A 26,510-nucleotide genomic window follows, 5' to 3' on the forward strand; every position below is an offset into this window, starting at 1 on the left:
AATAGACTTGAAATGGGCAATGATGCAGGTTTCTCCTGGGACCTCCTTCATGCTACAGGAAAGGTGTCAGCTGTTTCTTCCATGGGGGCAGGCAGCAGGCCACTTAGCTCTAATTCCAATATCTAGGCTTGGTTGCTGGGGGGTCCGTAGAGCCTGTATTCTATCTCGACATGCCTGTCTGTTAGGGTGTGTGTCCTAGCCCCTAATTTGTGTGGTACCCTGCAGCTATGAAGCAGGGAATGTGTTCTGAGCTATGTACTGGTGGGATATCCCTGGAAAGCACTGTCCCTTTATCACTACAGCATCCCTGACTTGATTCACCCCATGTGTTTGGCTTTCAGGGTCGAGCACGCACGCATGCATGCCAAGCACCGTGGCCATGAAGCTATGCATGCTGAAATGGTCCTCATCCTCATCGCAACCTTGGTGGTGGCCCAGCTGCTCCTGGTGCAGTGGAAGCAGAGGCACCCACGCTCCTACAATGTAAGCCACTTTGCCTCTTACTTCTTTGTCTGTCAGTCATCAAGAGACCCTTCCTAAGTATTCTAGGTCCCAGCCTAACCCAGGCCACATGGAGGTGGAGAAAGACAATAACAATGAACTTTATGTATGAATGATGAATAGTGTATTGGCGAGTGTGTGTCTAAGGGTCAGGTGATTCAGAGGGTGAAAAGGATAGAACATAAGACTATGTTCATAGGCAGAAAAGATAGGTTTTCCCTTCGAAACATTGTGGGACAGGTTCATGAAGGAGATAATCATCAGGAACTATTCAATTGGAGAGAGCAAAGATGAATTGACTGGGAAAACTAAGCATCTCATGAATCTTACAGGATCTAGATTACACTAATCTAAATTTTTTTAAAGAAGGATCGGGTGTGGTGGCTCATGTTTGTAATCCTAGTACTTTGGGAGATTGAGGTGGGCAGATGGCTTCAGCTCAGGAGTTCAAGACTAGCCTGGGCAACATGGCAAAACCCTATATCTACAAAAAATAGAGAAATTAGCCAGGCGTGGTGGCATGCGCCTATAGTCTCAGCTACTGGGGAGGCTGAGAGGTGGGAAGATTCCTTGAGCCTGGGAGGTCAAGGCTGCAGTGAGTCGTGATCGTGCCATTGCACTCCAGCCTGGAGACAGAGCAAGACTCTGTCTCAAAAAAAAGAAAAAGAAAAAACAGTAATGGTTGAAATTAGGTGGGGAAAATGACACACAGAAAACAAATAGCAAAATGGCAGAAGTTAATTCTTCCTTACCAGTAATCACTTTAAATATAAATGGATTAAATTCTTCCATTAGAAGACAGAAATTGGCAGATTGGTTTTAAAAATCCCCTCATTTATCGATATGCTGTCTATAGTAAATTCACTTTAGGTGGAAAGACACAAGCCAGGAGTGGTGGCACACACTTGTAATCCCACCTATTGAGGAGGCTGAGGTGGGAGAATTGCTTGAGCCAGGGGATTCAGTAAACTCATAAATGAGTGAAAGCCCCCTTGGCATTTCTGTGCTTATATGTAGAAATATTTTTAATTATATAATTTTGGCTAATCTGCAAAGATTTTTTTTTTTTTTTTTTTGAGACAGAGTCTCGCTGTGTCGCCCAGGCGGGAGTGCAGTGGTGCAATCTCTGCTCACTGCAAGCTCCGCCTCCCGGGTTCACGCCATTCTCCTGCCTCGGCTTCCCGCATAGCTGGGACTACAGGTGCCCACCATCACGCCTGACTAATTTTTTTGTATTTTTAGTAGAGACGGGGTTTCACTGTGTTAGCCAGGATGGTCTCGATCTCCTGACCTTGTGATCCGCCTCGGCCTCCCAAAGTGCTGGGATTACAGGCGTGAGCCACCGCGCCCGGCAGATTTTTACAACCTATTCTGAAGAAAGTGAGTATGCATATATGCACTGCAGTAATTTTCAATAAGAACTTTTTCCTTAAGTGTGGAATCCTTTCTTTAAACATTATCTTAAGGAAAAACTCAATCTGGGAAACAGTTAAGAGGCTGCTCTGCTTGATATGAAGGTTGGGTAACCCTAACACCTCTGCTTCCCCCTCTGAAATCTCTAGGACTCATCATAGCACTGTTAGAAAACCACTGATGTGTTATTCATTAGTTAATTCTTAACAGGAGATGTGTCTGTGACTTAATGAGGCCAGTTGTACTAGGAATGTGCAGTTTACTTGTTACTACCACATCCTGTAAACATAATGCTGAATTTTATTGGTGAGAGGATATGCTAACATGATAGCACATCTTACACTGAGAAACTTAAACTCATATCTTTAGAAAATAAGAAAAGAAATCTACCTAGGAGTGGAATTGCTGAGTCATGTGGTAACTCTGTGTTTAATGTTTTGAGGAACTGAGAAATTGTTTTCCACAGAAGCTGCACAATTTTCCATTCTGTCCTAACGTGGGTTGGGTTTTCATTCCTCCACATTCTTATCAAGACTTCTTACTTCTTTCACTCCGTTTTTTTTTAAATTTTATTTATTATAGCTACTTTAGTGGATGTAGATGTCATTGTGGTGTTGATTTGTATTTCCCTAATGACTAATGATGTTGGGCATCTTTTCCTGTGCTTATGGGTCATTTGTATATTTTCCTTAGAGAAATGTTTGTTTAAGTCTTTGCCCAATTTTTGGTTGAATTTTTTGTCTTTTTGTTGAGTTGTTAGAGTACTTTATATAATCTGGATAATAGACCATTATCAGATATATGATTTTAAAATATTTCCTCACATTTTATCGGTTGTCTTGACACTTTATTGATAGTGTCCTTTGATGCATAAACAGTTTTTAATTTTGATGAAGTTCAGTATATCTATTTTTTAATTTTATTGGTTGTGCTTTTAGTGTCATATCTAAGAATCCATTGCCAAGTCCAAGGTCATAGAGATTACTCTTATGTTTTCTTTGAAGAGTTTCATAGTCTTGGCCCGGTGGGGTGGCTCAAGCCTGTAATTCCAGCACTTTGGGAGGCTGAGGTGGGCGGATCACAAGGTCAGGAGTTTGAGACCAGCCTGGCCAACATGGTGAAACCCCGTCTCTAATAAAAATACAAAAATAGCTGGGCGTGGTGGCACGTGCCTGTAATCCCAGCTACTCGGAAGGCTGAGGCAGGAGAATCGCTTGAATCAGGGAGTTGGAGGTTGCAATGAGCCAAGATCGCACCACTGCACCCCAGCCTGATAACAGAGCAAGACTCCTTCCCAAAAAAAAAAGAGTTTTATAGTCTTAGCTCTTACATTTGGAGTTTTGGTCCATTTTGAGTTTTTGTAAATGGTGTGAGATAAGAATCTAAGTTCATTCTTTTGCATGTGGATAGCCAGTTGTCCCAGCATCATTTATTGAAGAGACTTCTTTCTCCATTGGATGGTCGTGGCATGTCACGACCTTGTCAGAAATCAATTGATCAAAGATATGTTGGCTTATTTTTGTACTCTCAGTTTTATTCCGTTGATCTATATGTCTGTTCTTTTGCAGGTACCACATTGTTATGATTACTGTAGCACTGTAGTAAGTTCTGAAATTGGAAAGTATGTTCCTCAACTTTGTTATTATTTTTCAAGATTGTTTCAGCTATTCTGAGTCCTTTGCAATTCCTTATTAATTTTAATATCAACGTTTCCATTTTACAAACAAAATCAGTTGGAATTTTGATAAAGATTGGTTTGATTCTCTAGATTGTTTGGGGAAATGTTTCCATCTTAACAATATTAATCTTCCAGTACCTGAACACAGGATATCTTTTCATTTATTTGGGTCTTTAATCTCTTTCATCAATGTTTTGTAGTTTTCAATGTACAAGTCTTGCACCTCCTTTGTTAAACTTATTCCTAAGTATGTTATTCTTTTTGATGCCATTGTTAATGGAATTTTTAAAAATTTCCTTTTTGAATTATTCATTGCTAATATATAGAATTTCAACTGATCGTTTTGTGTTAGTCTTCCAACTTTGCTGAATTTATTAGCTCTAATAGTTTTTAAAGTTTTTTTTAGGATTTTTTATATATAAGATTGGTCATCTGAGAGTAGAGTTTCACTTCTTCTTTTCCAATTGGATACCTTTTTTTTTCCTGAGACAAGGTCTTATTCTGATTGCCCATACTGGAATGCAGTGGTGCAGTATGGCGATTTCGGCTCACTGCAGCCTCTACTTCTGCAGGCTCAGGTGATCCTCCCACCTCAGACTTCCAAGTAGCTGGGACTACACGCGCACACCACAGCACCAGGCTAATTTTTTGTATTTTTGGTGGAGAGAGGGTTTTGCCAGGTTGCCTAGGCTGGTCTCGCCCTCCTGAACTCAAGCAATCCGCCTGCCTCAGCCTCCCAAAGTGTTGGGATTACAGGCGTGAGCCACCGTGCCTGGTATTATAAGCTGTGTTTTAGTACAAGTTAGCAACCTGTCAGGAATGTTGTGGAGGGGATGTTTGTGATTTTTTATGGGATGGTTGACTGGACTTCTTGAAGTCCTCCCAGTTAGCTCTGAAATCTGTATCAAATTGAATTACCCACAAGAGGTAAAGGCCTGTCTTGTTCTTAGAGGATGAAGCAGACCTGCCTAGAGACAGGATGAGGTTTTCATTCTGCAAAAGTTATGTTTATTTGTTATAAAAAAATTTGAACAATGTAACAGTATGTGACATAGAAATCAAAAGTGTCCCAGAGGGAACCACTGTTAATCAATTTGTTATAGATAGGAAAAATCTGCAAGTGTGTGTTTATAAATTTTTAGATGTTTATGACATCCATTAGGTTCTGCGGCATTTTTCACCTAATACTATCTCTCAAATATCTATCCATATTGGTGGGTATATCATCCTCTTAAACTAATGACTGCATAGTAATTTTTTTTTTTTTTTTTTAAGACAGGGTCTCTGTTGCCCAGGTTGGAGTGCAGTGGTGTGATCTTGGCTCACTGCAACCTCTGCCTCCTGGGCTCAAGGGATCCTCCCACTTCAGCCTTTTGAGTAGTTGGAACTACAGGTGTGAGCCACCATGCCCAGCTCATTTTTGTATTTTTTATAGAGATGGTTTTATGTTGTCCAGGCTGGTCAGGAACTCCTGGGCTGAAGTGATCCATCCACCTCGGCCTCCCAAAGTGCTGGGATTATAGGAGTGAGCCACCACGCCTGGCCTGCATAGTATTTTGGAAAATAGATCTCAAATAAAATTTAATTTACCTTTATCGATTGACTTGTTAATTAACAGTTTATCACAGTTGCAAGCAACAATTTAGTAAGCTTCTCATACATAAATTACCTGCATACCTGTGCAAGCAGTTTTATAGAATGCACTCCTAGAAATGAAATTGCCTGGTCAAAAAATATATGTGTTTTAATTATTAGTGGAACTTGCCAAATTGCCCTCCAAGAAAGTTATAGCTATTATAGTTTACAATCCATCAACACAGATTTAACAGAGCTGTTACCCAGTGTTAAAGAAGGTGTAGGGTATAGTCAGTATTTTTAATCTTTGTCAGTGTGATAAGGTGAAAATACCTGATTTTATTAAGTATTTCTCTGATTATTAGTGAAGTTGAGCATGTTTTCATGCTTAGTGGTCATTTGGCTTCTTTCAATTATTTGTTCATATCATTGACTAGATTTATATTTGATACATTTTTTTTGAGACAGAGTTTCCCTCTTGTTGCCCAGGCTGGAGTGCAATGGCACAATCTCAGCTCACCACAACCTCTGCCTCCCAGGTTCAAGTGATTCTCCTGCCTCAGCATCCCGAGTAGCTGGGATTACAGGCGTGCGCCACCATGCCCAGCTAATTTTGTATTTTTAGTAGAGACAGGGTTTCTCCACGTTGGTCAGGCTGGTCTCGAATGCCTGACCTCAGGTGATCCGCTCACCTTGGCCTCCCAAAATGCTGGGATTACAAGTGTGAGCCGCCGTGCCTGGCCTGATATTTCCATTTTTATCGAAGTAATACATACCATAGTTTTAAAAGTCAGATAGTTCTACAAGACTTCAGAAGCAAAACACATTGGTCCCCTGCCCAACTCTGTCAGTCGCTGATTCTTCTGTGGCAACTACTTTTATTAATAACTTTTTTAGTTCATTTCTGATACTTTTTTTTTTTAAGATACAGGATCTCAGTCTGTCACCCAGGCTGGAGGGCAGCAGCTCCATCATAGCTCACTGCAGCCTCAAACACCTGGGCCCAGGCAATCCTCCTGCCTCAGCCTCCCAAGTAGCTAGGACTACAGGTACACACCACCACGCTTGGCTAATATATATATATTTTAATTTTTTGTAGAGTTGGCTCTCACTATATTGCCCAGGCTGGTCTTGAATTCCTGGCCTTAAGTGATCCTCTTGCCTTAGCTTCCCAAAGTGTTGGGATTATAGCATGAGCCACCACAATTGGCCTTGCGTTTTTTAAATAACATGTTTATACTGATGTATAAATTTCTACTTTATTATATTTAAATATAATATTTGTGGGTTTTTTGTTTTTTTTTTTTGAGACGGAATCTCACTCTGTCACCCAGGCCGGACTGCGGACTGCAGAGGCGCAATCTCGGCTCACTGCAAGCTCCGCTTCCCGGGTTCACGCCATTCTCCTGCCTCAGCCTCCCGAGTAGCTGGGACTACAGGCACCCGCCACCGCGCCCGGCTAATTTTTTGTATTTTTAGTAGAGACGGGGTTTCACCTTGTTAGCCAGGATGGTCTCGATCTCCTGACCTCATGATCCACCCGCCTCGGCCTCCCAAAGTGCTGGGATTACAGGCGTGAGCCACCGCGCCCGGCCAATATTTGTGTTTTTTAAATAACATGTTTATACTGATATAAATTTCTACTTTATTATATTTAAATATAATATTTATGTTTTTTAAATAACATGTTTATACTGATGTATAAATTTCTACTTTTAAATATTATATATTGACTTCCTACTTTGGAAGGTAATAATTATGTGGGTTTTTTTTGTTTTTTTTTTTTTTTTTTGAGACGGAGTCTCACTCTGTCACCCAGGCTGGAGTGCAATGGCATGGTCTCGGCTCACTGCAATCTCTGCCTTCTGGGTTCAAGCGATTCTTCTGCCTCAGCCTCCCAAGTAGCTGGGACTACAGGTTCATGCCACCACACCCAGCTAATTTTTGTATTTTTAGTACAAATGTATTTTAGTACAAAATACAATAGTATTTAGTATTTTGTATTTAGTACAAATGTATTTTTGTATTTTTAGTACGTGGTTTCACCATGTTGGCCAGGATAGTCTCGATCTCCTGACCTCGTGATCTGCCCACCTTGGCCTCCCAAAGTGTTGGGATTACAGACATGAGCCACTGTGCCTGGCGGTAATAATTATCTTTTACTGCTATACCTATACCCGTTACATACTACAAACATTTCCTCCTCCCAATTTTTAAATAAATATTCATTGTTTACATTATTAAGTATTATATGTAAGTATTATTCACAAGATGTATTATTCACAGCTTGAGCCATATGATATATTTGGTACATTTTCTTTCCTTTGCTCAGGTTTCTTTTGGAATGTTTCTTACTGATTTGTAAGAGCTCTTTGTAGGTCAGGAATAAGCCTTCTGACATAATTTGCTACGGATATCTTTCCCCAGTTTGTCATTTGATTTTATTTGTAGAATTGGTAGAAAAATTTTTATAGATTAGATTTATGAACGATCTTTTTTTTTTTAAGATGAAGTCCTGCTCTGTCGCCCAGTTTGGAGTGCAGTGGCATGCTCTCGGCTCACTGCAACCTCTGCCCCCGGTTCAAGCGATTCTCCTGCCTCAGCCTCCCAAGTAGCTGGGATTACAGGCTCCTGCCACCATGCCTAGCTAACTCTTTGTATTTTAGTAGAGAAGGGGTTTCACCATGTTGGCCAGGCTGATCTCGAACTCTGGACTTCAAGTGATCAAACTGCCTCGGCCTCGCAAAGTGCTGGGATGACAGGTGTGAGCCACTGCCCCCAGCCCAATTTATGAACGATCTTGTTGGCTAAGTACTCTATTGTTTGCTATTCTGTTTGGATGGCCCATCTTGCTGTTCCTGATTTTCTATCCTGGTTCTTATAAAGTTCTTCTGCCTGCCTAGGCATATTTTAGGTAATAGCCATAGCTACCAATTTTACAATTCTTGTGGACCTCTCATTCTCAAATCTGCTGTAGGTTAAAGGTCAGTTCTAGAGAGGAGAAGCAGAGCATAAATATAGTTGGGACATTACCACCTATGTAATTACGTAGACATAATTAATAACACTAGCTAGCATTTATTGAGTACTGTCTATTTATTTGTTCAGTCAGTAGATATTCGTTGATCCTTTCTAGTCCCACGCTGGGGCTGTGCTCAGTTATATTGTTTCCTTTGTGGAGAAACAACTTTGAAAAACAGTTTCAAACTGTTTTTAAATTAAACTCCCTATGATCTGGGAGTTTAATTCCTAGATATATGCCAAGAGAAGATTTTGGTACATCCTCCTAGGATTTTTCTTTTTTCTTTCTTTCTTTTTTTTTTTTTTTGAGTCAGGCTCTTGCTGTGTTGCCCAGGCTGGAATGCAGTGGCGCGATCTCGGCTCACTGCAACCTCCGCCTCTTGGGTTCAAGTGATTCTCCTGCCTCAGCCTCCCAAGTAGCTGGGATTATGGGTGTCTGCCACCATGCCCGGCTAATTTTTGTATTTTTTAGTAGAGACAGAGTTTCACCATGTTGGTCAGGCTGGTCTCGAACTCCTGACCTCAGGTGATCCACCTGCCTCGGCCTCCCAAAGTGCTGGGATTACAGACGTGAGCCACCGTGCCTGGCCCCTCTTAGGATTTTTCATAGCAACACTATTTGTAGTAGCAAAAACTTGGAAATGACAATACTCACGTAAAGGTGAATGGGTGAGTTAGTTGTGATATATTCACATAATGGAATATAACATATAAAATAATGCATATGACATACTTATAAAAAGACAAAATATAAAATAACTATAGCTACAAATAATGGTAAGGATGAAGCTTAGCAGTATAATATTGAGTGCAAAAGAAGAGTCCTAGAAGACCACTTATAAGTTGACACTTTTTATAGAAAGGTAAAAATAATGGAAACTTAAGTGGTATGTTTTCTTTTTTTTGGCTAAGTTTGTGTTAGGCATAAACGGTATGTTTTAAAATTACGTATATGTGTGATAAAACCATATTTTACTTTATTTTGAGACAGGGTCTTTCTCTGTCACCCAGTCTGGAGTGTGGTGGCATGATCACAGCTCACTGCAGCCTCAACCTCCTGGGCTCTGTTGATCCTCCCACCTCAGCCTCCCAGGTAAATGGGACCACAGGTGTGCACCACCCTTGCCTGGCTAATTTAAAAATTTTTTTTCTAGAGATGAGGGTCTTCCTGTGTTGATGAGACTGGTCTCAAACTACTGGGCTCAAGCAGTCCTCCCACCTTGGCCTCTCAAAGTATTGGGATTACAGGCATGAGCCACCGTGCCAAGCCAAAACCACATTTTAAAAAGCAAGGGAATAGAATCAAGATTCCAGATAATGGTAACCTTGTATGGAAGAGAGACTGCAGGATAGGATAGAGACGAGCACATAGCTAGATATAAGTAATTTTAGATGTTTCACATCTTAGGTTCATTTGTGGGTTCAGTATTTATCATGTTATTAAATAATTAATGTAAAAAGTAAAGAAATTATGTCATGTGGTACAGGATGGATGAACCTTGAAGACATGTTAAGTGAAATAAGCCAGTCACAAAGAGACCAATATGATTCCACTTATATGAGATATCTAAAGTAGTCAAATTCATAGAAACAGAAAGTAGAATGATGGCTAGGGAGTAGGGGGAATTAGGGCCTATAGAGCTTCCATTTTACAAGACAAAAAAGTTCTGGAGATCTGTTACAAAATAGTAACAGATAGTAATACATAACAGTATTGAACTGTATACTCAAAGATGAATAAAATGGAAAATTTTTTGGGTTTTGAAACCACAAAAGTAGTTTTGGTTGACACAGTGGCTTACACCTCTAATCCCAGCACTTTGGAAGACTAAGGTGGAAGGATCACTTGATTCCAGGAGTTCCAGACAAGCTTGGGCAATGCAGGGAGACCCCATTTCTACTAAAAATTTTAAAAATTAGCTGACTGTGGTGGTGTGCACTTGTAATGCCAGCTACTTGGGAGGCTGAGGCGGGAAGATTGCTTGGGCCCAGGAGTTTAACGCTTCAGTAAACTATGATCACGTCACTGCACTCCAGCCTGGGTGACAGAGTGAGACTGTCATTTAAAAAAAGACAAAATAATAATAACTTTAAAAAATTAAAGGTGGTCCATGCATGGACTAATGATGAGAATGTTCATTAACCAAAGAATTTGAATAATTTATTTTTTTCTCTACCTAAAGTTCAAAAATAAAGCAAGAAAGAAAGCAACTACCAAGACAGGGACTTACCTTGCCTTAAGACACACTATAAGAATAGACAAACAGATCAGTGGGACAAAATGCAGATCTCAGAGATGGATGGGAATTTAATATATAATAAAGGTGTAACCACCAATCAATAAGAAGGTATTCATTGTTAAGTAGATTAGTTGAGAAAACTGACTCACCACAAGGAGAAAAATTAAAACTAGATTTGTACATAATACTGAATACAAAGGGGACTCAAGATAAAGACCTAATTATGAAAGGTAAAGTTATGAAACTAATTTTTAAAATATAAGCAGGCTGGGTGTGGTGACTCATGCCTGTAATCCCGGCACTTTGGGAGGCTGAGGGGGGCAGATCACTTGAGCCTAGAGGTTCAAGACCAGCTTGGGCAACATGGTCAAACCCTATCTCTACAAAAAATAAAAAAATTAGCCAGGTGTGATGGTGCATGCCTGTAGTCCCAGCTACTCAGGAGGCTGAGGTGGAAGGATCACTTGAGCCCAAGAGTTTGAGGTTGCAGTGAGCTGAGATCATGGCACTTGACTACATTGTGGGTAACAGATGAAACCCTGTCTCAAAATAAATAAGTAAATGAACTTTTTTAAAAATAAAAATATAAGCAAGTAAGAAAGATTCGATAAATTTGATTTTATAAATTAAGGATTTCTGTTCTGTTAAAGATATGATAGGCAGAGTTAACTGAAACTGAATGGAGAATAGATGAGTAATGATTAAAACTGACAGTAGATTAATATTTATCCAGAGAAACTCCTACAAATCAACAAAAGACAGCAACTCCAATAGAAAAACAGGCCAGAGATATGAACACATTTACAGGAAAGGAAACCCAAAAGGCCATTAAGCATGAAAAGAGATGCTCAGAGTCATTAGTAATTAGAGAAATGCACATAAAAATATGAGATATCACTTTACATCTATTAGGTTGGCAAAAGCTAGAAAGCTGAATAGTGCCAAGTGTTGGCAAGGATCAAAGGCTGTAGGAGCTTTCTTGTACTTTTTTGTGGGTATGGTACAGGCATTGTGGATAGCAGCATGGCATTGCTGAGTCAGCGAATATACACATACCCTGTGACACATCCTAAGGGGATATGTAAGAGGGTGTTCACTGAAGTGTTAATTATGGCTGAACATTGAGGAGTTGGAGGCAATCTGGATATCTATCTCTGAGGGAGTAAATAGGTAAAATGTGACGGATGCATATCATGAAATTGTTTTACAGTTAAAAGCAATACATTAAGTACCTGTAGGAACTTGGGAGGACCTTAAAAGCATAGTACTGAGTGGAAAAACTAAGAAACAGAAAGATGTGTAACACAATGCCAATTAATAAAAATACAAGCAGAGAAAGCAATAAACAGTTTGCATGAACAGGTACAAACAAAAATATACATGTGAAGCACATTAGAATGTCTGGGGTGAGGAATAGTAATAAAAGAGAATCAGGAAGACTCCCCGGAGAATGTTGTGTAAAGGAAAGGCACTGGGATTGTTGTTGAGTAGTAGAAACATGAACTGTTTGAGATTAGCCATTAGAGCTTTTAAAAAAATGCCTCTTATGGCATTCCAAGAAATGATGGAATTATTTGATAAGGCTCTGTTTCTTTCAAACTGAATGAAACTTTTTGTCCTTCACTAGTGCAGGTTGGTGGCGCAGCCTTTTAGTGGGCATCCAATGACCACTGAGTGGAAAAACACTAGCTCTGTTCTCCTAGACCAAGGTTTCTCAACAGAGGAACTGTTGGCATTTTGGGCCATATAATTCTTTTTTTCTCGGGGGCTGTCCTGTATATTATAGGATGTTTAATAGCATCCCTACCCTCTGTCCACTAGATGATACTGGCACCCTTCTGCACTTGTAACAACCAGATGTCTCCAGACTGCCAAATGTCCCCTGGGAAACAAAATCATCCCTGATGAGAAACACTGTCCTAGGCTCTAGGACCTAGAGCAACATGGATATTGCAAGCTATGAGACTGATGATGAGCAGTATGCCAGCCCACTGAGAAGTATCACATTACTGTCCATAACTTAGGAGCTCAAGCCCAACCTTCACATTAAGAGAAACATAGGCTGGGCGGCTGGGTGCGGTGGCTCATGCCTATAATCCCAGCACTTTGGGAGGCCGAGGCAGGCGGATCACGTGAGGTCAGGAGTTGGAGACCATCCTGACCAACATGGAGAAACCTTGTCTCTACTAAAAATACACTGTTAGCCGGACATGGTGGTGCATGCCTGTAATCCCAGCTACTCGGAAGGCTGAGGCAGGAGAATCGCTTGAATCCAAGAGGCGGAGGTTGTGGTGAGCCGAGACTGTGCCTTTGCACTCCAGCCTAGGCAACAAGAGTGAAACTCCATCTCAAAAAAAAAAAAGAGGGAAATGTAGGCTGGGCATAGTGGCTCATGCCTGTAATTCCAGCATTTTGGGAGACTGGAGTGGAAGGATAGCTTGAGCCCAGGAGTTTGAGACCAGCCTGGGCAACGTAGTAAGACCCAATCTCTTAAAAAAGAAAAAATTAGCTGGTTGTAGTAGCATAGGCCTGTAGTCCCAGCTACTTAGGAGGTTGAGATGGGAGGATCACTTGAGCCTGGGAGGTTGAGGCTGCAGTGGGCTGTGATTGTGCCACTGCACTCCAGCCTGGGCAACAGAGTGAGACCCTGTCTCAAAAACAAAAAACAGGCCGGGCGCGGTGGCTCATGCCTGTAATCCCAGCACTTTGGGAGGCCGAGGCGGGCAGATCACCTGAGGTTGGGAGTTCAAGACCAGCCTGACCAACATGGTAAAACCCCGTCTCTACTAATAATACAAAAATTAGCCGGATGTGGTGGCAGGTGCCTGTAATCCCAGCTACTGTGGAGGCTGAGGCAGGAGTATTGCCTGAACCCGGGCAGTGGAGGTTGCAGTGAGTCAAGATCCTGCCACTGCACTCTAGCCTGGGTGACAAGAGTGAAACTCTGTCTCAAAAAACAAAAAAACAAACCAAAAAAACCCCAAAAAACAAAAGCCCTACTGACAAGGAAGAGGCCAAAGAAATAAATTTAAAAGAAGAAATATAAAATTTAAAACAGAAAATTTTGAAAAATACAAAAAACAAAAGCCCTGTATTTTTTTGTTTGTTTGTTTGTTTGTTTTTGAGACGGAGTCTTGCTCTTTCACCCAGGCCAGACTGCAGTGGCGCTATCTCGGCTCACTGCAAGCTCCGCCTCCCGGGTTCACGCCATTCTCCTGCCTCAGCCTCCTGAGTAGCTGGGACTACAGGTGCCTGCCATCGTGTCTGGCTAATTTTTTGTATTTTTAGTAGAGACGGGGTTTCACCGTGTTAGCCAAGATGGTCTCAATCTCCTGACCTCGTGATCCACCCTCCTCGGCCTCCCAAAGTGCTGGGATTACAGGCGTGAGCCACCACGCCCAGCCAAGCCCTGTTGTTTTGAGTAAGGTCATACTGTATCTAAATTTTAGATACTGTTCTTTTCAATTCTAGCAATAATAATACTTTAGATTGCTTATAGTTTAGATTTGTTGATGATTTAAAAAATACTCCACCTACTCTGTTATAACACTTATAATGAATTGTGGTTGGTTCTTTCTCCTCAGTAGACTTGAGTTCTTCTCATTTATTCTCTCTTGGAACCTCCTAACAGCTCTGTAAGGTAGTCAGGGTAGGTATTTATCTTCAGTTTTCAGATTAGTAAACCAAGGTACAGAATCCTGAAGTGATTTGCTGGGAACACATGACCATTAAATTGGAGAGTTGGACCTAAAATGAAAATCTGATTCTTGGTTAAGTGTTCTTTCTGTAGGTTCCTCTCAAAGGCTTCAGGAAATTTTTGTCAATTTCTGCCATAGTCAGAAGTTTTTAATCCTCTTGAGTTTCCTTATTTAACGACTTTTGCCCAAGTCCTTTCCTTGGATCTCAGGTACTTTCTCAACCTCCTCTTAAGTCTCTTCATCATCTTGCCTCCCCAGCCTCTCCAGATTTCCCCACAAACTCAGTGAATGATGATTGGTAGGCAGCTTAAGAGACAGAAAATCTGGATTGGAAACCTAGCCCAAACCAGACTTGCCTTTTGGCTTCTGCGTAGCTCAGTTTTCATCATCTATTCAGAGTCTAACATTACTCTTTAGCTCCTTCAGGGATGTTAGGGGAAGGGATAAGTTTATGCCTGGAAAAGTATCCATCCTATTTTTGAAGTTCTCCAGGGAGAAGCTTTCATCATCTGTGTCTACTACCAAATATAGTATCTCTTCACATCTCTACCTCCTGAACTGCTTTCCCTCCTGGAACCGGTGAGTGGCAAAATCTCCTACCTGGAAATCTTTAAAGTACTGTAGATTTTTCTTAGACCAAGATATTAGGATTACTAGAATGTGGAATTAGAGAATTCTGACTAAGGTGGTAAGGGGTTGTAATTCACTTTCTATGAGAAGGAAAAACTTCTATCTTCAGAATATAACAAAAACTTGTAGCTGTGGTATCTTTATCAGCCTCCTTTGAGTCTCATCTACCTCTTTAGGCTCATTTCTCACACCTTCCTCAAATACTAGTTGTCTTTTCTCAAGTATACCATGTCCCCTCATCCTGGAACACCCATCATGATGCCTTTTTCTATCTGGACCTATTGGCCATCAAGACAGAGATCAAAGGATGCTTCCTTCAGGCAGCCTTCCTTGGAGGGGGGTGGGTTCTCCACTTTGAGTGGAGTGCCTCTCCTCTGTATTTTCTTGGTCACCAGCCCTTACTCCATTAAAGCACTTAATTGTGGTTATTTGTTTCTCCTCAGTAGACTTGTGTTCTTCAGGAGATTTTGGTTTTCATCTCTGAATTCCCCAGTCATTAGCATGGCATCCAGTAAGTGCTCAGTAAATGTTTATTAAATGACTGCTTGACTGACTCGTTTGCTTGAAGTGGAAAAGATGGGAAAGAAGACATAGTTCTAGGTATTAGAAGAGTAGTCATAAGAAACATGGAGTAAGTTTACTTTGTGCTCCTCTGAAAGATAAGAGTTGGACCCAGAGACAGAAGTGACACAAAGGCAGATTTTTCAGGTCAGCATCAGGAAAGAGCTGTCTAGCAAATATATTCGTATTGGAGTGGCCTGACTTATGTGGTAAGGATTACTATGTGTAGGTGTGATAGGAGGGAAACAACTCCAACCGTGTTTCTGCCTTGTAGAGTGTCCAGTAATGTGTAGTGTCTCACTAGGTCATAGAAACTACACTGAATATGTCTGTTTATTGGGCCTCTGGATGACTCTTCAGATATCATTTATCTGAAGCCTTCTTGTAGTCTTCTCCAGGCTTAATATCCTGGTGTCTTCAGTTGTTCCTTATGTGATTTGGTTTCCAGGCCTTTTATTATAATCCTAGCTGCTCTCTTATGGCCTGCTGTCTTATGGCCATGCTTATTTGTTAGTGTTCTTTGTATAGTGTGGCCCCAAGCCCTGATCCTAGGGTCCCAGAGATACTTTAACAGAGCAGAGAACAGTAGACCTGCTGCCCCCTCCATTCTGGGTATATTCTTTTTTTTTTTTTTTTTTTTTTTTTTTTGAGATGGAGTCTCGCTGTGTCGCCCGGGCTGGAGTGCAGTGGCACAATCTCGGCTCACGGCAACCTCCGCCTCCCGGGTTCAAGCGATTCTCCTGCCTCAGCTTCCCGAGTAGCTGGGACTGCAGGTGTGCGCCACTATGCCCAGCTAATTTTTGTATTTTTAGTAGAGACGGGGTTTTACCATGTTGGTTGGCCAGTATGGTCTCGATCTCTTGACCTCGTGATCTGCCTGCCTCGGCCTCCCAAAGTGCTGGGGTTACAGGCGTGAGCCACGGCACCTGGCCCATTCTGGGTATATTCTTAGTTAAGCAGGGTTGTCTTGGCTGTGTTGGCAGCAGCCCTGTTGGCATATATTCCCTGGCAATTTGTGGTCAACTGAAACCCCTAAGCCTGTTTCATGTGAGCTACTATTAAGCCATTCCTTCCCCATTCTATACTTTGGTAGTTAGGTTTCATTTTGTGGTTTTGATTCTTCATTTCAGCTTATTAGCTCATGGAATGTTAGGGCTAAAAGAACCCTAGAAATAAACTTTTTTCATTTTGATCTTATTTCTTCTATTTTCCATGTTCACTGCCTCCCTTTCCCTCCCCACAAGCTTTGTGCTGTCCACAGTTGGGAGGTTCTTTGTGTTTTCTTCCAAATCATTTATGAAAATATTGAGCAGAGCCATGGAGCATGTCCCAGAAACCTACCTCCAGTTGACTGCAGTCTATTTCTCAGCCTATTTTCAAGCTGATTGTTCTATTAGCTGTGGATCTCTACCTTTATTCTACTACTTGGGCTTATAGTTTCATTTCATCCACTATATTGCTTTTCAGCCAGGTATGGTGGGAGGGTGATCCCTAGCTTACAACATGAGGGGATGCAGAGGTGGTAAGATGAGAATCCTGAAAGTCAAAAGTGCCAAGCACCTGTGGACTGGAAAGGCACCTGATGCACAGGGAAAGATATGATCTATTTTCATGAATTCTAGTTTCTCTGAGATGAAAGGGATCTGGAGGTTGTCTTATTAGAAATAATTGTCAGGTAGTGTTGATTCCATCTCTACCAACACACCTTCTACTGATGGTTCCAGCTCTCAGTTAAGAGGCAATCCGTTTAAATGTGGACTAGCTCTTACTGTTAGCATCTAACATCGTCATCTCAACTGTTTTAGCCTTGTGGAGGGATAAGCGGGATATTGCTATTCTTGTCCCTCAGTAAATGTTTGCTGAACGAATCCATGAGTTAGTTTCAGGCTAGTCTTCAGCTTTGTATTTGCACATTCAGGGAGAGAAGGATGAATGGCTTTTGTGTTTCTCCTTCTACCTGGCCAAACCCATTCCTCCTTTAGAATCATCCAGAGCTCTGCCTCTTCCAGGAAGTTTTCCTGACAGCTCCTGCCTCATCTTTCCACTGAATTCCCATGTCCGTACTTGATGCTTTGTACTGGCCACCTAATTCATGTGTTTATATCGCATTAGCCAAGTCCTGGAGGGCCAAGGCTTTCATGCTTTCCACAGCATCAGGCACAAGTGTGCAAATTAGTGAACCAAATGTGTCTCCATAAATGTTGCCACGAGATGGCACTAGAGGCCCTGCAATTGTTCTGCATAACTTTTAGCCATTTATATGCCTTCCTTAATGAAGTTTAAACATATTTACCAAGCAAAATGCCAATAAATTCTAAAGTAGAAACTGAAAAAAATTTTTTGTATTTTTTTTTTTTAAGAGGTGGGGTTTCACCGTGTTGCCCAGGCTGGTCTCAAGCTCCTGGGCTCAAGCGATCCATCTGCCTCAGCCCCCCAATGTGCTCGAATTACAGGAGTGAGCCACCATGCCCGGCCTACAGTAGAAATTTTAAACCAAATAAAGAAACCAGGTAACTTCCCCTTTTATCACATGGTAGACTGTTCTGTTCACTCAGCTCCTCTGCCTTGCCCCTCCCCAGGAACTGGGTCCTTCCACCAGCAGCTGCTTTCTAGGCCCCAAGCAGAAGTTGGCTTTCACTCCCTAATGGAGATGGCCTGGGGACCTGAAAATGGCCTCAAATCCTTGGTTTGTGTCTTCTGATAATTTATTTTTCCTAGAAAGGACAATTAAACATTAATAAGAAATTGCTTATAACCTTATCACTTTTCATATGTCAGTTATTTTGGTTGCCTCATTCTGGTCTTTGCTCCTTTGTATGTGTGACTTAATGCATTTTTAATCATGCAAAAGCCATAATAAGAGCTCTCATTTACTGAGCGCTTATTATGAATTATGCATCACACTTGTTTTATACATATTACTTCCATTTAAATATAAGAACTATTATATCAAATGCTTGTATTTACTACACTGCTTATAACAAGTGCTGACATTATTAGGCACTGTTGTAAGTGCTTTCCATGCCTTAACTCATTTAACCCATACAACCTTCTGAGAATAGATACTGTTAACCCCATTTTACCATAGTTTAGAGAACTGAAGCTTTTCAGAGTTAAACGATCTGCCTAAGTTAACGCAGTAATTAGCTGTATTGGGATTCATATTTAGATAGCTTTAATTCTAAAATTTCTGATCATTTCAGTGTATCATTTCATTTTGTTCATTCTTTAATGATTCCTATTTGGACTTCTAGAAATGGTCTGAAGGCTAACAGAATCATTGAAATTAGGGTTTGATTTAGATCTTTTTCCTGCAGCTAGCCTGGTAACTCCTAGAGGACTAGAGGTCATGTTTATTTCTGTACTCCTTTTCCCATTAAATGCAAAATTAATACTTAATGGTTGAATGAGTGAGTGGGTGAACACTGCCTCTACTCTCCTAGGAAGTCTGGGATACAGAGCTAGTTGATAGAAACTTAGCCTGTTAGAACTTGAAGTGGTTTGAAAAATCAAGCCAATCCCTTCCTCCAAGAAAGGACGGAGGACCTCCTTAGGGTGACCTATTGAGTTGGAGGCAGAATGGAACTAGAACTCCGGTTTACTGGGCTTCTACTCCACCATCTGGTTTCAGAAAGCCTAATCCTGTCTCTAAATTCCCTTCTGTCTCCCCTTTTCTCCCTTTCTCTCTCTCCTCTTGTTCTCTCTTTTTTTCTCACACACAGTCTTTTTCTTTCTCTCGATGTGACTTGATATAGCTTTACGTACTTGATGTATATCTCTAGATGTAGTTTTTTCATCCTAAAATTTCAAGCCCAAAAACTACAAAACAAAGCAAGATTTTTCATTCCTCATGCCCCGACTTACTCCTAATTGTGTCTTTGTCCAACTCAGAATAGAATCCAGGATCTCTGCTTCTCTCCTCACCCAGAATGTACAGAGCTGCAGCTCATGTAGAGAAAATTACCTTGATTCACATTCCTCCTCAGAACATGCTATTGATGATTGGTGGAAAGTGGGAAAGAGGATCTTAGCGCAGGCTGGTTGTTTTAATGCAACAGCCAAGTTTTTGAAAAACTGGCAGGAGAACAGGAGTTTCTGTTTTTTTCTCAGAGAGAACAAATGTGACCAGACTATGTGATTTAATTATTCTCTGGGCCTACTGTTTTGTAAACAGCCCCATGAGCCTGTTAAAGCGAATAGCATGAAGACCAAAACCTTCCAGCCCTTCTTTCCATATGCCACCCTTTTAGTTTCATGAGTTGGGTTGCGTTTTCCCCAAATTTAAATAATCTGCAGTTGTTTGTTGTGATGTCTTTTCCTGGTGCTCCTAGTGTCTCCTAGAAAATGACACCTGGGGCATTATTTGGGTAGCCATTTGTTAGTACATCCTGGTGCTTCCACACTTTTTATGTAAGGTCAGACTGTTTTAGAATGCTTCATTCAGAGAGTCAGTTGTGGGTTCCTATGTAGTGAATTGTTATTGAGGCTTCAAGGCTCATGGACCAGCAGCCAGTACCCTCGGGTACACAGAATGGGAACCTCTAAAGCAAAGTGGTTCTGCTTACCCTTTTCTCTGTTCTGTTCTGTTCTCTTCTCACTGTTTCTTTTTTCCTGTAAAATGACACTTTTTTTTTTTTAAGATGGAGTCTAACACTCTGTCACCTAGGCTGGAGTGCGATGGCGCGATCTCAGCTTGCCGCAACCTCCACCTCCCGGATTCAAGCGATTCTCCTGCCTCAGCCTCCCAAGTAGCTGGGATTATGGGTGCCCGCCACCATGCCTGGCTAATTTTTGTATTTTTAGTAGAGACGGGGTTTCACCATGTTGGCCAGGCTGGTCTTAAACTCCTGACCTAAGGTGATCTACCTGCCTTGGCCTCCCAAAGTGCTGGGATTACAGGTGTGAGTCACCACGCCTGGCCATCTAAGGCTTTTTCTTGCCACAGAGAAATCTATAAGAGAATGGTAGCTACAGACAACTAAACACTAAAACTGCTCTAAGCTGCACTACCTATTATGGTAGCCATCAGTCCCATGTGGCTGCTGACTACTTGAAATGTAGCTAGTCTGTTGTAAATGTAAAATAGATATTTGATTTCAAAGCCTTAGTACCAAAAAAAGTAAGCCATTTCATAAATAATTTTAATCTTGAATACATATTGAGATATTTTGTATGTATTGGAATAAATAAAATATATCATTGAAATGAAAACCTGTTTCTTCTTACCTTTTTAAAAATGTAACTAGAAGATTTTAAACTATGTTTGTGACTTGCATGATATTTCGTTTGGATAGCACTGGTCTAGAAATCCCTAAGAGTAAATACTTTCTTTTTTTTTTTTGAGATGGAGTCTTGCTCTGTCACCCAGGCTGGAGTGCAGTGGTGTGATCTCGGCTCCCTGCAAGCTCCACCTCTTGGGTTCACACCATTCTCCTGCCTCAGCCTCCTGAGTAGCTGGGACTACAGGTGCCTGCCACCACACCCGGCTAATTTTTTTTGTATTTTTAGTAGAGACAGGGTTTCACTGTGTTAGCCAGGATGGTCTCAATCTCCTGACCTTGTGATCCACCCACCTCAGCCTCCCAAAGTGCTGGGATTACAAGTGTGAGCCACCACGGCCAGCCGAGTAAATACTTTCTTAGTTTGCTATAGAATGCCAGGAAACTAGCCGCTCTTTCCTCTCTATATCTCTCTTTTTGTTGTTGTTTTTTTTAAAAATATTCTTTGATTTTGTTGATGGCATCAGGAAGAAAACCTCCATTATGTATTATTTGCTATCTTTTTTTATACCTGCTACTCACTGGAGAAGGATGACATCTAGTGACAGAAGGGTGGTTGAGGAGGGAGTTAGGAGGCATTGGAGAGAAGACTAGCGATGACTTCAAATTTCTGTCTTAGAGTTAGAATTGTTTTATGCCTTTAAAAAACTTCAGCTAACAAGTCTGAGGGAAGGCTCTGAAGGAGGGAGAGTAAAACAGGCACTCTTTAAAACAGAAATGTGCCTCTCTCTGAGGGAGTCCTACTCTAGTTTTACTTTCCTCTTACTTATCGGAATTTATTGAGGACATATCATATGCCAACAGTTTTCTAGTTTAGAGGAAGTGGGAATATGGCCCAGTCACTACCCACAAGGAGCTTACATACAGGTAGAGAATGAATTCAAGCCCAGCCGCATACTCTAGATAAGCACTATAATAATGTTAGAAAAGAAAATGCGTTTGGAGCACTAGAAAGCACTTTCTGCCTGGAAAGGAGACTAGACGGAAGGCTTCGTGTGTCTTGGATGTGATATTGTCAGGCAGAAAGGCAGGCAGGTGGGAAGGACAACCTGATGGGGACAACCTGACTTAAAGGCCTGGGGAGTGGTAGATGGCCCTCGAAATAGTAGGTCGGGGCCATACCATGGGGGATTTGACAGCCTAGCTAAGAATGTTGGATCCTCTCTACTAAAAACACAAAAATTAGCCACACGTGGTGGCACGCGCCTGTAATCCCAGCTACTTGGGAGGCTGAGGCAAGAGAATCGCTTAAACCTGGGAGGCAGAGGCTACAGTGAGCCAGGATCACACCGTTACACTCCAACCTGGGCAACAGAGCAAGACTCCATCTCAAAAAAAAAAAAAAAAAAAGGAATGTTGGATCCTATCCTTTGACTGTTTAAGGGTTTTAAGCAGAGAAATGACATGGTGAAGATTTCGTGTTCGAGATACCATTCTGGCACTCCTCAAAAGGATGGACACTGAATGCAGGGAGACTAAGAAAGAGCTCATTGCAGTCAGCCAGCCAAGTGGTAGCAAGAGCTCAAATGGAAAGGAAAGAATATATCCAAGAGATAGTTGAGTGAGGGATGAAAGGGAGGAGGAGTCAAATATGGTCCTAAGTCTCTGACTTGGATCACTAGTGGAGTTAACTTTATCCAAAGTTGTAAATACAGGAGAGGATCAAGCTAAAATAGAAAACAAGCTGCATTTGGGACTGTGGACAGAGCTGCAGAGGGAGCTGGCCAGAGCTGAAGTGCTTGTGTTTGTGTTTCAGATGGTGACCCTCTTTCAGATGTGGGTTGTTCCCCTCTATTTCACAGTGAAGCTGCACTGGTGGAGGTTCCTAGTGATCTGGATCTTGTTCTCTGCTGTCACAGCCTTTGTTACCTTCCGAGCCACCCGAAAACCTCTAGTACAGACAACCCCAAGGTGAGAGTTTAAGTAGTGGGAAGAGCCCAGGTTTTCCGAAGCTAATGGGTTGGAATGCATGGGAGGAGCATAGGTTTAGACTGAAAAAATTCCTGGTTTTGTCTGCCAAAATTATTTGGCATGGGGCCTCTCTAAAACAAGCTGATTGGTAGAACCCCTCCCCTATTTATCGATTAAAAACCTCAAATATTTCTGTATAGCTTACTTTATGGTTTCAAGGTATTTTTATATTAAAGGCAAACAAAAATAAGCAAATTGTGGTGATCATTGTGGTCTCATTTTAAATGTTTTCTTCTATGAACCCTTCTCTGATCTCTAAATTAGATTTTCCATTATATTCTGTCATTGCACAGTAGTTTTCCTTCATATAACTTACCACAATTTATAACTAAATACCGTTTTGAGTATCTATCTCCCTCACTAAACTCTAACTCTGGGATCAGGAACCACATCCATTTTGTTTGTCACTGTATATTCAGGCCCTGCCATGGGGCCTGGCACATAGTAGCCTGCTCTGAATTTTTGTTGAATGAATGAATCTCAGCAAATTTATAATTTTCCAATAAACAATACTTCCTTCTTGAGTCACAAAGCAGCCACTGCCTGTATAATTCTTTTTATTTTATTCAAATTCGTTTCTCATTTGATCCTCCCCACCAGCTTGTGAGGTAATTTAATATCTGCACTCAACAGAAAAAGAGATTTTCTCATTCATTCAAATAAGCACCTACTGTGTGCCAGGCCCTGTGCTGAGTGCTGGGGATACAGAGCTGGATAAGACATGGTCCCTGCCCTCAAGGAGTACTCTGTTTAATGGAGGAGATGGACAAGAAAGCTCCTGTTGCAGTGCAGTTGGTAAGTGCTATGACAGAGGTTTGTGTAGGTCCAAGAGAGCTTGACTGGCCAGCCTCAAAGCTGTGACCACCTGATCCAAAGTCTTTCAAATTGTAGATTGCTCTTCTTCCTATTCTTCTTATGTTCTACTTTCCTGCAAGCCTTTCTCTGGCCTTCTGGAGTTTCATTGTATAAGGTAAAATAGGTGATCCATAAGTTCCTCTCTGGCTTTGGTAGTTTACTTTAAAGGCCACTGTGGAAGATACAGGATGTGGAGCCAGATGAATGTGGATTGGGACCCCTAGCCCTGCCACTTGTTCACTGTATGACCTTACCTTTCTGAGCCTTGAAGTCTTCATCCCTAAAAATGGGACAATAATTGCTACCTCACATAGGGTGATAAGATGATATGAAGAAAAAGTGCAATAGAACAATGTAAGAGTCACCAAGGACACCACAAACAGTGCCAACTTCTGGCTAAAATAATTGAAAATATGTCTGTAATACAGAGGATTTTTATAATAGTAACTACTAGCTTTTTTTTTGAGATGGAGTCTCGCTCTGTCGCCCAGGCTGGAGTGCAGTGGCACGATCTCGGCTCACTCGTGCAAGCTCCGCCTCCTGGGTTCACACCATTTTCCTGCCTCAGCCTCCCAAGTAGCTGGGACTACAGGCACCCGCCACCACACCTGGCTAATTTTTTGTACTTTTTTAGTAGAGACAGGGTTTCCCCGTGTTAGCCAGGATGTCTCGATCTCCTGACCTCATGATCTGCCTGCCTCAACCTCCCAAAGTGCTGGGATTACAGGCATGAGCCACCGTGCCTGGCCAGTAACTACTAGCTATTTATTTATTTATTTAGAGACAGGGTCTCACTCTGTCACCCAGGCTGGAGTGCAGTTCACTGCAACCTCTGCCTCCCAGGCTTAGGCGATTCTCCTGGCTTAGCCTCCCAAGTAGCTGGGACTACAGGTGTGTGCCGCCACACCCGGCTAATTTTTTTTTTTTTTTTTTTTTTTTTGTCTATTTTTAGTAGAGACAGGGTTTCACCATGTTGGCCAGGCTGACCTCAAGTGATCTGCCCGCCTCGGGCTCCCAAAGTGCTGGAATTACAAGTGTGAGCCACCACGCCCAGCCCTGTAACTAACATTTGATAGTGCTTTACAATTTCAAAGCACTTTTTAAAAATAGAGATGAGGTCGCACTCTGTCGCCCAGGCTAGAGTGCAGTGCCATGATCACAACTCACTGCAGCCTCATCCTCCTAGGCTCAACCAATTTTCCCATCTCAGTCTCTGTAGTAGCTGGGACTACAGGCATGCTCCACCTTGTCTGGCTATTTTTTAATTTTTATTTTTAGTAGAGACAAGGTCTTACTGAGTTTCCTAGGCTGGTCTCGAACTCCTGAGCTCAAAGAATCCTCCCACTTCAGCCTCCCAAAGTGTTGGGATTCCAGGTGTGAGCCATTGTGCCTGCCCTCAAAGCACTTTTGTGAACATCCTTATTTATACATGTAGCATTTCATGAACATGTATTATATACCAGGAAATGGGCTCTGTACAACCCAGTAAAAAAGGTAGCAGGGTTTTCCTGTTTTACAAAGAAAATCACCTCTCTTGTCTCAAAGAGGTGATTTGACTTATCTGAGGTTATCCAGCTACTAAAACATCACTTAATCCATATTGAGTTTTTTGACCTAAAATTTCACATCCTTTTCACCGTGTCTCTCTCTTTTGTGATCAGTGCAATCCCTGGAGAATAGAGCTGTGTGTGTTCTTTAAGACAACACTAGAAGGAAGATATTTGGGACCTTTCCCTAGCCTGAGAAACCATCACTGCTTGCCTGGCCACAGCAAGGAGGCATGGGCAGGGAAGGACCTTGACTTTCCTCCCTAGGGTTCAGCAGGGTTGGTAGTAACCTAGTCAGCTCTCAGGAACCACACAGGCTTGTGCTGGTTATTCAGACAGATTACTAAATTGTTCATTAGCTCCCATCACAGATAGAATAGTGGCTCCTGATGACAGGGACCTACTCTTGTAGCATTTAAAAGGCTCTGGTTTGGCCAAGCACCAGTGGCTTATGCCTGTAATCCCAGCACTTTGGGAGGCTGAGGTGGGAGGATCCCTTGAGCCTAGGAGTTCTAGACCAGTCTGGGCAACATTGCAAGACCCCATCTCTAGCCAAAAAAAAACAAAAAAAAAGGCCCTGGTTCCTTCAGGGAACCATCTTTCTTGCTGAGTCTAGTAGCTGGGATCCACCAATTAGGTTGTACACTGTCTTCATTGGCTCCTGGGGCACACTACTCCTCCTTCAGGAGCATGAACAACCCCATTCTACTTCACCACCACCACACACTTTCATCCAACTCAAAGGTACTTCTTAAGTGCCTCTCTCCCTTCTCCCTCAGAAGAAAATTCATTTCAGAAGCAAATTCATTACACATCATTTCTTTCATTTTTGGCCTGTGGATAGGAGCAAAGCTGTATTCAGACTAACCGGGCCCAGGTACAAACAACCTGTAGCTCATTCTACCTCTGATTCATCTCTTGAATTCTGTTTCTGAACAACTAGCCTTCCCTGCCTGTTAATCTTCTGAGCATAGTTGTGTTTAATACTTTTTACTTCCTCATTTGAGGTGACATAGCTGTCTAAGGTCAGCTGTGCTCCTTCTTTGAGGCAGAAACTGCCTTTTTAGGAATCTTTTCCTTGGTCTGAAACCATGAAAATACAAAGCATAGCTGGGTGTGGTGGCTCACGCCTATAATCCAAACACTTTGGGAGGCTGAGGCGAGTGGATCATGTGGTCAGGAATTCGAGACCAGCCTGGCCAATATGGTGAAACCCCGTCTCTACTAAAAAAAATATAAAAATTAGCCGGGTGTGGTGGTGGGCACCTGTGGTCCCAGCTACTCAGGAGGCTGAGGCAGAAGAATCGCTTGAACTCAGGAGGTGGAGGTTGCAGTGAGCTGAGATTGTGCCACTGCACTCCAGCTTGGGTGACAGAGCGAGACTCTCATCTCAAAAAAAAAAAAAAAAAAAAGAAAAAAAATACAAAGCCCTAGTTCTTGAGTATATGGAGGCATTTCTGCAGTTAAGGGAGTGAGCAGCTTTGGATAGTAACTGAAGTTGCTCAGTAAGTCCTGAGCAAAGACCCTGGTGTCCCCATTGA

At 41.8% G+C, this 26,510-nt stretch overlaps 1 protein-coding gene across 8 annotated transcripts in view, besides 2 other annotated features; it reads left to right on the plus strand.

The window, feature by feature from the left end:
* The window catches only part of RNF121 (ring finger protein 121), a 68,552-nt gene that overhangs the window by 31,363 nt on the left and 10,679 nt on the right, over positions 1-26,510 (plus strand). For 5 of the 8 annotated variants that reach the window (NR_024147.2, NM_018320.5, XM_006718629.2 and 2 more), the window contains 2 exons: positions 342-483; positions 22,353-22,507. Coding sequence is in view for 6 of the 8 variants with exons in the window: in NM_018320.5 (NP_060790.2) it covers positions 342-483; positions 22,353-22,507 (297 nt within the window). In the remaining 2 variants the exon portion in view is untranslated. Of the gene's footprint in view, positions 1-341; positions 484-1,743; positions 1,882-17,682; positions 17,828-22,352; positions 22,508-26,510 lie in introns of those variants that run through there. The other 3 variants (NR_024148.2, XM_047427234.1, XM_006718632.2) reach the window with 3 other exon arrangements.
* Positions 2,328-2,447: an enhancer, noted in NCBI's record as "active region_5172". NCBI's record gives its function as "activates an Ori minimal core promoter by ATAC-STARR-seq in GM12878 lymphoblastoid cells {active_cell/tissue: GM12878}" and the evidence as "EXISTENCE:reporter gene assay evidence [ECO:0000049][PMID:35858748]".
* Positions 17,653-17,752: an enhancer, noted in NCBI's record as "active region_5173". NCBI's record gives its function as "activates an Ori minimal core promoter by ATAC-STARR-seq in GM12878 lymphoblastoid cells {active_cell/tissue: GM12878}" and the evidence as "EXISTENCE:reporter gene assay evidence [ECO:0000049][PMID:35858748]".

This window comes from Homo sapiens, chromosome 11, assembly GCF_000001405.40.
Source record: "Homo sapiens chromosome 11, GRCh38.p14 Primary Assembly".
In the NCBI taxonomy this organism is placed as follows: domain Eukaryota; kingdom Metazoa; phylum Chordata; class Mammalia; order Primates; family Hominidae; genus Homo; species Homo sapiens.